The sequence below is a fragment of the Homo sapiens genome, chromosome 17 (genome assembly GCF_000001405.40).
Source record: "Homo sapiens chromosome 17, GRCh38.p14 Primary Assembly".
NCBI classification, from domain to species: domain Eukaryota; kingdom Metazoa; phylum Chordata; class Mammalia; order Primates; family Hominidae; genus Homo; species Homo sapiens.
The window spans coordinates 82158258-82171150 of record NC_000017.11 but is presented as its reverse complement, the minus strand read 5'-3'; the positions used below and the strand labels follow the sequence as shown (position 1 = coordinate 82171150).

The following is a 12893-nucleotide window of genomic DNA, read 5'->3' as shown; positions in this document are numbered from 1 at the left end:
GTGCCCTGGCTCCTCACTGCAGTCAGCGCTCCCTGTTTTGGTGTGAATGGAATTCCTTGTGCTCCCTCCGGAGCCCACGTGCCCTGGCTGCTCACTGCAGTCAGCGCTCCCTGTTTTGGTGTGAATGGAATTCTGTGGCACCTGTGCTTCTGTCTGGCGTCTTCAGACCTACACTGTGTTTCACTTGATAATGCCAGATTCTTCTCCAAAGCATCCATCCACATCGTGCGAGGTAGCCGTGGTGCTGCATGCGCGCCAACACTTACGTGGTCAGCGGCTCCTTCTGTTCCCTCTAGTGGACACGTAGCACATCCTATTTTGGTTTAATTTGCAAATTCATGAGATTCGTGGGATTGAACATCTCTTCCTGTGTGCATTGGCGTATGATTGGCTAGGGCTGCCGTAACTCAACACCACAGCCTGAGTGGCTTAAACAACGGTTTTATTTTCTCACTTCTGGAGTCTGGATGTCAGAGATCAGGTTGCCGGCAGGGTGGGTTCCTCCTGAGGCCTCTCTGTGGCTTGCAGACGGCACCCTCTCCCCTGCGTGCTCATGTGGACTCTCCCCCTGCGTGCTCACGTGACTCCTCCCCCGCTGCATGCTCACTCCTGGTGTCTCTTCCTCTTTTTTTTTTTTTTTTTTGGGACAGAGTCTTGCTCTGTTGCCCAGGGTGGAGTGCAGTGGCATGATTTTGGCTCATTGCAGCCTCTGCCTCCCAAGTTCAAGCGATTCTCCTGCCTCAGCCTCCTGAGTAGCTGGGATTACAGGTGCATGCCACCACGCCCGGCTAATTTTTGTATTTTTAGTAGAGATGAGGTTTCACCACGTTGGTCAGGCTGGTCCCGAACTCCTGACCTCGTGATCTGCCTACCTGAGCCTCCCAAAGTGCTGGGATGACAGGCGTGAGACACCGCGCCCGACTCTTCCTCTTCTTGTAAGGACAACAGTCCAGGGCCCCAGCCTTAGGACCTCATGTAACCTTAGCTGCCTCCTCAGAGGCGCTGTCTCCAAATACAGTCATGTTCGGGGTGAGAGCTTCAACCCGTAAATTTTGGGGGGCAGAGCTCAGTCCATAGAATTGGCCTTTCGACAGCCCCTCTTTTGGAGCTCCAGGCCATGTCTTTTGCCCATTGTTTATTGGATCATCTGCCCTTTGTCATAGATTTTTTTAGGGTATTTTATGCTGAATATGAGCCTAGCGTTGGTTATATGTGTTGCAAATATCTTCTCCCAGTCTATGGCTTGCCTTTTATTCCTTCACTGGTGTCTTTGGTGAATGGAAGGTCTTAATTTCAAGACAAACTCATAGGCTAATCTATTCCATTGTGGTTAGTCCAACATCAAAAGGTTCATTCTAGCATTCTAGCTTTCTTTTTCATTATTCTAACTTCCTTTCCCAATAATGAGAAACCTGGCTCGCCCATTATCACTAACACAGTTACTTTGATCGAGTCCTCTTGGTGTAACCAATCCCCCATTGCTGCTGTGGCCCCTTCCCCTATTTGCAGGCCCCTCTCCTGCCTGGATGCCTCCCCAGCATCACCGAGCTTGACAGCCCAGCCTGGCTGCCTTCCACACAGATGCCTTCACCCTGCTGGAGCCACAGCCCCCCTTAGTGTAGGGGAGGCAGGCCCCATCTGCAGGCCTAAGGCAGGAAAAGAAAGGGAGGGGCCAGACAGGACACTCCACTGGCACAGATTGTCTCAAATAGGGGAGGTTTTTGCCGGGCGCAGTGGCTCACGCCTGTAATCCCAGCACTTTGGGAGGCCGAGGTGGGTGGATCACCTGAGGTCGGGAGTTTGAGACCAGCCTGGCCAACATGGTGAAACCCCGTCTCTACTAAAAATACAAAAAAATTAGCTGGGCGTGGTGGCAGGCACCTGTAATCCCAGCCACTTGGGAGGCTGAGGCAGGAGAATCACTTGAACCCAGGAGGCGGAGGTTGCAGTGAGCCGAGATTGCACCACTACACTCCAGCCTAGGTAACAGAGCGAGACTCCATCTCAAAAAAAATAAAGTAAAATAAAATAAGGGAGGTTTTATTTTTCTTTTCCAATGCTGATATTGTTTACTTCTTCTTGCATTATCGCCCCTAGCTAAACTCTCCGGTATGATGTTGATAATAGCTGTCTTTCTCCCTAATCCCAGAGGAAGAACTTTCAGCATTTCACTTTTTTAGGTTGAGTTTTTGCTGAAGGTTTTTTGTGGTGGGGGTAGTGGAGGGAGGTTAAGGAAGTTTCTTTCTATTCCTGTTTTAATATAGATCTTTATTTTTTAAATCACGATTCTTTGTTTTTGTTTCATATATTTTGTATCTTTGTTGTTAGATGTGTATACATTTAGGGTTTTTTTTTTTTAGGATAATTGACCCTTATATTGTTACGTAATCTTCCTCTTTGTCTGGCAACATTCTTTGTTCTGAAGTCTACCTTGTCTGATATTAATTAATCCACTCGGGCTTTCTTTTGATTAGCATTCGCGTGGTATAACTTTTTCATCCCTTTTTCTTTTTACCTACCTCTCTCTTTTATATTTGAAATGAATTTCTTGTTTTTTGAGACGGAGTCTCTGTTGCCCAGGCTGGAGTGCAGTGGCACAATCTCGGCTCACTGCAACCTCTGCCTCCTGGGTTCGAGCGATTCTCATGCCTCAGCCTCCAAAGTAGCTAGGGTTACAGGCATGTGCCACCATGCCCAGCTGGTGGCGTTTGTATTGTTAGTAGAGACAGGGTTTCACCATGTTGGCCAGGCTGGTCTCGAACTTCTGGCCTCAGGTGATCCACTTGCGCTGGCCTCCCAAAGTGCTGGAATTACAGGCGTGAGCCACTGCGCCCGGCCTAAAGACAAAAACTGTTGAAAGCACACAGAGAGAGCGATGCACAGCCCACAGGGGACAGTGACTGGAGCGGTAGTGGGTTCTCAGCAGCAGCTGTCATCAGATTTCTCCTCAGAAGGAAGTGGCATAATATTTTTCAAGTACTGAAAGCAAAAAACTGTCAACCCATAATTATACATTCAGTAAAAATATTCTTCAGGAATGAGAGTGAATAAAGACATTCTCAGATGAAGGAAAAGTTTGTCACCAGCAGACTGGATCTAAAAGAACTGATAAAGGAGGTACTTTAGACACAACAGAAGGAAGGAAACTAGGAATGTCAGGAGTGAAGGAAAACTAATGGCAAGGATGAATATGATAGACATTCTTTCACACTTAACTCTTAAAATTACGTTGACAGGCCGGGCGCCGTGGCTCATGCCTGTCATCCCAGCACTTTGGGAGGCCAAGGCAGGTGGATCACCTGAGGTCAGTAGTTGAAGGCCAGCCTGGCCAACATGGCGAAACCCCGTATCTACTAAAAATACAAAAATTAGCTGGGCACGGTGGCGCACACCTGTAATCCCAGCACTTTGGGAGGCCGAGGTGGGTGGATCACTTGAGGTCAGGAGTTCAAGACTAGCCTGACCAACATGGTGAAACCCCTATTAAAAATGCAAAAATTGGCCGGGTGTGGTTGCGGGTGCCTGCAATCCCAGCACTTTGGGAAGCTGAGGCGGGTGGATCACTTGAGGCCAGGAGTTCAAGACCAGCCTGGCCAAAGTGGAGAAACCCCATTTCTACTAAAAATACAAAAATTAGCTGGGCATGGTGGTGGACACCTGTGATCCCAGCTATTTGGGAGGCTGAGGCAGGAGAATCGCTTGAACCCGGGAGGTGGAGGTTGCAGTGAGCCGACATCGCGCCACTGCACTCCAGCCTGGGCTACAAGAGCAAAAATCCATCTCAAAAAAAAAAAAAAGAATTTTTGTCTTTAGTTTTCAGAAATTTCATTATGTTGTATCTGGGCATAGATTTCTTTGGTTTATTCTTTTTGATATTGATCTGAAGGTTTATGTCTTTCACCAAATTTCAGAAGTTTTCATTCATTATTTTTCAAGTAATTTTTTCGGCTCCACACTCTTTCCTTCTGGGGCTCTGAGGACACAAACGTTTGGTCTTTTGTTATTGTCCTGCTGGTCCCTGAGGCTGTGTTTTGTTTCTTTTCAATTTGTTTTCTCTCTTGTTCAAATTGGACAGTTTCTTTTCCTCTGTTCTTCAGGTTTATCAGTGCTTGCTTTTGTCATTTCCATTTTGCTGTGGAGCCCATTCAGTGAGATTTTTGTTTCTGTTTCTAAAATTTCCATTTTGGGTTTCTTTTTCCTTTTTTTTTGTTGTTGTTGTTGTGGTTGTTGTTTTTGAGACAGGGCCTTGCTCTGTTGTCCAGTCTGGAGTGTGGTAGTATGGTCATAGCTCACTGCAGCCTTGACCCCCTGGGCTCAAGGGACCCTCCCACCTTAGCTTGCCAAGTAACTGGGACTACAGGCTACAGGTGTGCACCACCACACCCAGCTAATTTCTTTTTATATTTGTAGAGATGGAGTATCACTATGTTGCCCAGGCTGGTCTTGAACTCCTGGCCTCAATTGATCCTCCTGCCTCAGCCTCCCAAAGTGTTTGGATTACAGGCATGAGCCATCACAGTTGGCCTTAGTTTTCTTTATATCTTACTTTACTGGAACTTTCATTTTGCCATAAGTTTTAGAGTGTATTAAATTGCTTGCTGGAGTTTTTTGTTTGTGTATTTGTTTGTTTTTTTTAGAGACAGGGTCTCGATCTGTCACCCACGCTGGAGTGCAACGGCATTATCATGGCTCACTGCAGCCTGGGCCTCCTGGGCTCAAGTGACCCTCCTGCCTCAGACTGCTGAAGAGCTGGGGTTATAGGTACATACCACCTCCATGCCTAGCTAATTTTTTTTTTTTTTTTGTAGAGATGGGGTTTCACTATGTTGCCCAGGCTGATCTTAAACTATTGGCTTCAAGCAATTCTCTCACCTCTACCCTCCCCAGTAACTTGCTGGAGTTTTGTTATGACTGCTGCTTTAAAATCTTCATCCCATAATTCCAATGTCTGTGTCATCTTGGTGTTGTCTATTTCATTCACATTGAGATTTTCTTGGTTGTTAATATGACGAGTAATTTTTTTTTTAATCAGAGATGGAGTCTCACTATATTGCCAAGGCTGTTCTCAAAACTCCTTGGCTCAAGTGATCCTCCTGCCTTGGCCTCCCAAAGTACTGGAATTACAAGCAGCCTCCTGTAATTTGTTACTGTATCATGGACATTTTGAGTGTCACATTATGAAATTCCAGTTCTTATTAAATCTATGTTAATTCTGTCTTTTCTTTTGTCAGGTAGTCAGCCTTTCTGGGTTCACACTGCGCATCCTGGCCCGCTCTGGTGGGCTGAGGTTTGAATGTCCATTACTTTCCAGAGCCTTGATGATGCTATTTTCCTCTGCCCATACATGAGCTACCAAGTGGCCAGTTAAATCCTGGGCAGTGTCCCCCGCCAGGCCCGGTTGTCAGAGGTTTTGCTGTGCTGGTTCTGTGGATTCTGGCTGGTTTTACACGGCAGCTCCTCAGGGGTCTTCACGCAGACCTCCTTCCTCCTGTGACCCTCCCCACATGCTCTCCCAGAAGCCCAGCTGGCCTTTGTCCACAGCAGGCTGCAGGACCATGGGCTGGCAGGAGGGCAGGTGTGGTCCCAAGGGCTCCACCTGCACGTCCCCGTCTTCTTGCTCCGTTGGTCCCAGGAGCAGCTTCTCTTCGGCCTTTTTTTTTTTTGGTCTGAGCTCTGGGTTGTGGCTGCCTAGCACCAGGCCAGTGTGTGCAGGAAGGAGACGAGGGACTCCTTGCCAGCCACCCCTGGGATCCGAGGCCCCTAGACACTCAGCCTTCATTTCTCACTGTTCAGAATTTTCCCCTAGTGAGGCTTTTTGTGTTCTGGCTGGGCCTTTAGCTGAGATTAGCAGGCAAAATGCGGGTGGACTGTAGGGGCTCCGTCGGGTTAAACCGCCCGTGCAGTTCTGGGATGAATTCAACATGTAGTGATAGATTCTTCTTTTTATAGTTTGACAGATTTGGTTTGCTGATACTTCTTTTGTTTTTTGTTTAAATGAGACACAGTCTCGCTCTTTGACCAGGCTATTCTTGAACTCTTGGGCTCAAGCCATCTTCTTGCCTTGGCCTCCTGTGTAGCTGGGATTACAGGTGTGAGCCACCACACCCAGCTTGGTTTGCCAGTGTTTTATTGAGAATTATCACATTTATGTTCATGAGTAAGACTGGCCCATAATTTTCAATTCTCATAATGTTCATGGGAGGTTTTGGAATCAGAGTTACGCTGGCCTCATAAATATGTTGGAAAGTATTCTCTATTTTTCCGTTTTCTAAAAAAGTTTGTATCAGACTTATATTAATTTTTCTTAAATAATTGGTAGAATTCAACTTTGAAACCAGCTGGGCCTGGAGTTTTCCTTGTGGGAAGGTTTAAAATTGTGTATTCAGTTTTTTTCATAGTTGTAGGACATTTGGATTTTCTTTTTTGTACATTTTTGATGTTATATTTTACTAAGAAATTGTCCATTTCATCTAAATTTTCAAATTTTTGACATAAAGTTGCTTATAGTATCCTATGAGTTTTTAAATGTCTGTGGGATCTGAAGTGTTGACTCCTTTTTGCCATTAATTATATTGGTCATTTGCTTCTATTTTTTCCTTGCTTAGTATTATTGGGTGTTTATTTTAGCCTTCTCAAAGAATCAACTGTTGATTTTGTTGATTCTCTATTATACATTTATTTTCTGTTTCCTCAGTATCTAATACTAACGTTATCTTTTCTTCCTCCTACTTTATTTGGCGTTTTTTTGTTTGTTTGTTTTTGTTTTTTTTGAGACAGAGTCTCACTCTGTCACCCAGGCTGGAGTGTAGTGGCACAATCTTGGCTCACTGCCACCTCCGCCTCCCGAGTTCAATCGATTCTCGTGCCTCAGCCTCCCGAGTAGTTGAGACCACAGGGGCGCACCACCACGCCTGGCTAATTTTTGTATTTTTTTTTTAGCAGAGACAGGGTTTTGCCACATTGGCCAGGTTGGTCTCCCACTCCTGACCTCAGGCGATCTGCCCACCTCAGCCTCCCAAAGTGCTGAGATTACAGGCGTGAGCCACCGTGCCTGGCCCTATTTGGCTTTAATTTGGTCATTCTTTTTAAATTTATTTTTCTGTGTGTGTGTGTGACAGGGTCTCGCTCTGTTATCCAGGCTGGAGTGCAGTGGCTCAGTCATAGCTCACTGTAACCTTGAATTCCTGGGATCGAGGGATCCTCCTGCCTCAGCCTCCCAACGTGATGAGATGACAGGGATGGGCCACTGCACCTGGCCCCTCTAATTTCTTGAGATGAATGTTTAGCTCATTGGTTTTTGGCCTTTCTTCTTTTCTAAAATATTTATCTAAAGCTGTAATTATTCTTGGAAGGACAGCTTTAGATTCATTCCTGAAGTTTCTAAGGTAGTATTGTTGTTATCTTTCCATTCAAAATAGTTGTTAATGTCCATTGTGATTTTTTTCTTTGACCCTGTGTTATGTGGCATCTTTTTTCTTCATTTCCAAGCAAGTGGCTCTTTACTTGGACAGACTGGAGCAATTGGTCTCTATCAGACATTACGTGGTAAGGTCAGACTTTTTCCTACAAGGATTCTTGCTTTCTTTACATGAGGATTATGCTTTCTGTACAGCATCTCTAATCTTCACGTGGACCAGATCTGCTGACTCCAATGAAGAACAGCTTCGCATTGGGGTCAGCCGCTGGTGCCATGGCCTCACGGGAAAGGGAGAGCTGATAGAGATGTGTGTCTCCCCAGAAAGGTCTTCCTTTGTTCTCAGGTATGAGCTGACAGAAGCCACTCTTCTCTGCAGGAGGGTCTGCCCAAGCTGGTCAAGCCGGAGGGTCTGTCCAAGCTGGTCAAGCAGGAGGATCTGTCCAAGCTGGCCCAGTATCCTCTGGACTGGCACTCAGGAAGCTCGGGGACAGAGTGCAGCTCCTAAACCTGCTGGTGACACGACTCAGACAGAAGGTGAGGCAGTCAAGTTTGTGGGGTCATCCTCCTAGAGAGCCGCTGCTGGGGGAGAGCGCGTGGGCTCTGAGCGGCTGCCCGGTGCGACCCCAGGTGACCTCGGGCATCCACTGACCTCTCTCTGCCTGTTTTTTTCTGAGGAAGGGGCTGTGGGGAGGTCCTAGGAACCGGTTCATCTCAGGTGTGCTCGTGGAAGGCGTGCCATGAGAACCTGGGAAGCATGGTCTAGGCAGTGGAGGCAGCACTGGCGGCCAGAACACCAGGCCCTGGCTGTGCCCGCTCAGAGGGGTCCTGGTCAGTGGGGCGTGTGTGCGGGCTGCCCGATGCCACCTGCCCGCTCAGAGGGGTCCTGGTCAGTGGGGCGTGTGTGCGGGCTGCCCGATGCCACCTGCCCGCTCAGAGGGGTCCTGGTCAGTGGGGCGTGTGTGCGGGCTGCCCGATGCCACCTGCCCGCTCAGAGGGGTCCTGGTCAGTGGGGCGTGTGTGCGGGCTGCCCGATGCCACCTGCCCGCTCAGAGGGGTCCTGGTCAGTGGGGCGTGTGTGCGGGCTGCCCGATGCCACCTGCCCGCTCAGAGGGGTCCTGGTCAGTGGGGCGTGTGTGCGGGCTGCCCGATGCCACCTGCCCGCTCAGAGGGGTCCTGGTCAACCGGACGCATGTGCTCCATGTCAGTGTTGAGCCACACTTCATCTGAGATACTAGGGCCCCGGCAAGCGCTGTTCTTTTCAACCTCCTGGGCCCTTGCCTTTTGGGGGTCGGGTCCTACTCCTGCTGGGACCAGTATCTGCATCCAGCAGCGAGCCCACCCTGTTTCCCATGGGGCTGGGGTCACTACCTCGGTTTGACTGCTACATATTCCTAACATCGTTTTGGCTTTTACTTTAAAAAATTGTGTGGCCAGGCATGGGGGCTCACACCTGTAATCCCAGCACTTTGGGAGGCCGAGGTGGGCGGATCACCCCACTCCTGAGGTCAGGAGTTCGAGACCAGCCTGGCCAACATGGTGAAACCCCATCTCTATAAAATACAAAAAATTAGCCGGGAGTGGTGGCGGGTACCCATAGTCCCAGCTACTTGGGAGGCTGAGGTGGGAGAATCGCTTGAACCCAGGAGGCGGAGGTTGCAGTGAGCCGAGATTGTGCCATTGTACTCTAGCTTGGGCAACAGGAGCGAAACTCCATCTCAAAAAAAAAATTTTTTTAATTGTGGTAAAATTCATTAATATATAACAAAGTTTACCATTTTGGCCATTTTAAAGTGTACCTTTCAGTGGCATTAAGCACATTCACAATGTCGTATAAACATTCTCACTATTCATTTTGGCCATTTTAAAGTGTACCTTTCAGTGGCATTAAGCACATTCACAATGTCGCATAAACATTCTCACTATTACCGGAGCTTTTCTCCCCACCCCAGATAGAAGCTCGGTACAATAACCACACAGCAGTGTCACCCCTTCCCTGCTTCCCAGCTTCTAGTAAGTATTCCACCCCCGTCACAATCAATTTGTCTACTGTAGGGACCTCATATTAACACAGTCCTATGGTAGTTGTCCTTTTGTGCCCGGCTTCTTTCATTGAGTAGAATGTTTTCAGGGTTCAGCTCTGCATATGTCAGAACGTCATTCCTTCCCATGGCTGACATATTCCATTGTATGGAGGAATCACATTTTGTTTATCATTCATGCACTCAACATTTGGGTTGTTTCCGCTGTTTGGATTGTGCATAATGCTGCTGTGAATGTTCCTGTGTAAGTTCCTGTGTGGACTTATGCAGAGTTCAGTTCTCCTGGGTGTACACCTGGGAGCGGAATTGCTCTGTCAGACGGTCACCCTGTGTTGAACCCTTTGAGGAGCCACCGTGCTGTTTTCCCCAGACATTAACTCTGTGTTTAACCCTCTGAGGAGCCACCGCACTGTTTTCCCCAGCAGCCACACGATTTTACCTCCACCAGCACTGTGTGAGGGTTCCGGTTCCCCCATCCCCACCAACACTAGCTGTTTTCTGGCTGTGATGCTAGGCATCCTGGTGGGAGTGAAGTGGGGCCTCGCTGTGGTTTTGATTTGCATTTTCCTGATGACTCCTGGTGTCGAGCATCGTCTCATGTGCGTCTTGGTCAGCCATTTGAGCCATTTGTCTTCTTTGGAGAAACATCCGTGTGGATCCCTTGCCCAGTTTTAATTGGGTTGTCTTTTTATTTGAGTTGTAAGAATTCTTTTTATATTCCAGATACAAGTCCCTTATTAGATATATGATTTGCTACATTTTTCTCCCATTCTGTGGTTTGTCTTTTCACTTTCTCTTTTTTTTTTTTTTTTTTTTTTTTTGAGACAGAGTCTTGCTGTGTCGCCCAGGCTGGAGTGCAATGGCGTGATCTCGGCTGACTGCAACCTCCGCCTCCCGGGTTCAAGGAATTCTCCTGCCTCAGCCTCCCAAGTAGCTGGGATTACAGGCATGAGCCACCACGCCTGCTAATTTTTGTATTTTTGGTAGAGATGGGGTTTTACCATGTTGGCCAGGCTGGTATCGAACTCCTCACCTCAGGTGATCTTCCCACCTCTGCCTCCCAAAGTGCTAGGATTACAGGTATGAGCCACTGCACCTGGCCTGTCTGCCTCCCAAAGTGCTGGGATTACAGGTATGAGCCACTGCACCTGGCCTGTCTGCCTCCCAAAGTGCTGGCATTACAGGTATGAGCCACTGCACCTGGCCTGTGTGCCTCCCAAAGTGCTGGGATTACAGGTATGAGCCACTGCACCTGGCCTGTCTGCCTCCCAAAGTGCTGAGATTACAGGTATGAGCCACTGCACCTGGCCTGTCTGCCTCCCAAAGTGCTGGCATTACAGGTATGAGTCACTGCACCTGGCCTGTCTTTTCACTTTCCTGATGGTGTCCTTTGAAGGACACCGAATGTTTCCAGTTTTGATCCAGTCCTGTTGATCATGTCTCCTGTTGCTTGTGCTTCTGAGTCATGCTGTCCTCATCCTGTTGCTTTTATTCCTTGTGAGGCGACATAACAAGGGAACTTCCACATGTCCTCTCGCATTGTAAATACATAAACCACGCCTTCCCTGCAGCCTCTGCTTCTTCTCTAACGCAGAACATCTCTCTAGAAACAAAGTATTCCAGATTTCCCATCTGCCCAGGGAGTGCACAGTGCTCCAGAAATTGGATGCTTTTTTTTTTTAATCTTCCTAAGATGTTTGATGGATTGATTGAAAATGGCAAATATGGCCAGGCGAGGTGGCTCACGCCTGTAATCCCAGCACCTTGGGAGTCCAAGATGGGCAGATCACCAGGTCAGGAGATTGAGACCATCTTGGCCAACATGATGAACTCTGTGTCTACTAAAATACAAAAGATGAGCCGGGTGTGGTGGTGCGTGCCTGTAATCCCAGCTACTCGGGAGGCTGAGGCAAGGCAATTGCTTGAACCCGGGAGGCGGAGGTTGCAGTGAGCTGAGATCGCGCTACTGCACTCCAGCCTGGGCGACAGAGCAAGACTCCGTCTCAAAAAAAAAAAAAAAGAAAATGACAAATATAAATTGTATATCTCTATGGTATGCGACATGATGTTTTGAAACATGCCCACACTGGAAGGGCTAAATGAGGCTAATTAACATGTGCGTTACCCTCATACCTCTCATTTTCTGCTGATGCCTAACGCCTCGCCTTGATTGGAAGTGTGTCCTTGTTGTTGCAATGGAGAGGAACTTGGCCACTTTTCCATTTCTGTCGAGGCAGTTGAAGATCCATGTACACGTGAGGGGCTCCAGTCGAGGGAGTTGAAGATCCATGTGCCCGTGAAGGGGCTCCAGATCCCCGATGCTTTGCAGTTGCTGTTTCCCCCATTTCCCGCACAAATGCTACAGACAAGAAATAAACATTTAAATACAGCTTTTAGGCTGGGCACGGTGGTACACACCTGTAATCTCAACACTTTGGGAGTCTGAGGCAGGAAGATCACTTGAGCCCAGGAGTTTGAGACCAGCCTGGGCAACATAGGGAGACCTTGTCCCTACAAAAACTAAACAAGGCTGGGCACGGTGGTGCATGCCTGTAATCCCCACACTTTGGAATGGTGAGGTGGGAGGATTATTTGAGCTCAGCAGTTTGAAATCAGCCTGGGCAACACAGCAAGACCCCATCTGTAATAAAAACTGAAATAATTAGCCAAGCATGGTGGTGCGTCTGTAGTCCCAGCTACTCAGGAGGCTGAGGATTACTTGAGCCCAGTGGGAGGGTTGCTTGAGCCCAGATGGTTGAGGCTGCGGCGAGCCACGATCGCGCCACTCTGCCCCAGCTTGGGCGAAGAGCAAGACCCTGTCTCTAAAAATAGAAATAGGCTGGATGCGGTGGCTCACACGTGTAATCCCAACACTTTGGGAGGCTGAGGCAGAAGGATCGCTTGAGCCCAGGAGTTTGAGACCAGCCTAAGCAACCAACTAAGATGCCGTCTGAATAAAATAAGTAAATAAATAAAAATTAATACAAGCTTTTTTTTTTTTTTTTTTGAAATGGAGTCTCGCTCTGTCGCCCAGGCTGGAGTACACTGGCGCGATCTTGGCTCACTGCAAGCTCCACCTCCCGGGTTCATGCCATTCTCCTGCCTCAGCCTCCCAAGTAGCTGGGACCACAGGCACCCACCGCCATGCCCGGCTAATTTTTTTTATTTTTTAGTAGAGATGGGGTTTCACCATGTTGGCCAGGATGGTCTCGATCTCCTGACCTCGTGATCCACCCTCCTCGGCCTCCCAAGGCACTGGGATTATAGGCGTGAGCCACCGCACCCAGCCTATCCACCTGCCTTTCAATAGCCTCAGCCCTCCGACTTCCTGGCCTGTTTACCTCTGGCCTCCCCATGTCTGCCCCCTTTGATTAGCAGAAAAGAAAAATCAACACCTCCTACCGGTTACTTGCAATTCTGGAGGCCTTTGTTTCTCC

At 48.2% G+C, this 12893-nt stretch overlaps 1 protein-coding gene across 36 annotated transcripts in view, besides 1 other annotated feature; it reads left to right on the top strand.

The window, feature by feature from the left end:
- CCDC57 (coiled-coil domain containing 57) overlaps positions 1 to 12893 on the top strand; it is a 111373-nt gene that overhangs the window by 41692 nt on the left and 56788 nt on the right. For 34 of the 36 annotated variants that reach the window (XR_001752485.3, NM_001367828.2, NM_198082.4 and 31 more), the window contains one exon: positions 7794 to 7951. Coding sequence is in view for 35 of the 36 variants with exons in the window: in NM_001367828.2 (NP_001354757.1) it covers positions 7794 to 7951 (158 nt within the window). In the remaining variant the exon portion in view is untranslated. Of the gene's footprint in view, positions 1 to 7760; positions 7952 to 10284; positions 10537 to 12893 lie in introns of those variants that run through there. The other 2 variants (XM_047435780.1, XM_047435781.1) reach the window with 2 other exon arrangements.
- Positions 10764 to 11058: an enhancer, noted in NCBI's record as "tiled region #9641; K562 Activating non-DNase unmatched - State 15:Elon". NCBI's record gives its function as "activates a minimal TATA promoter and a strong SV40 promoter by Sharpr-MPRA in K562 cells {active_cell/tissue: K562}" and the evidence as "EXISTENCE:reporter gene assay evidence [ECO:0000049][PMID:27701403]".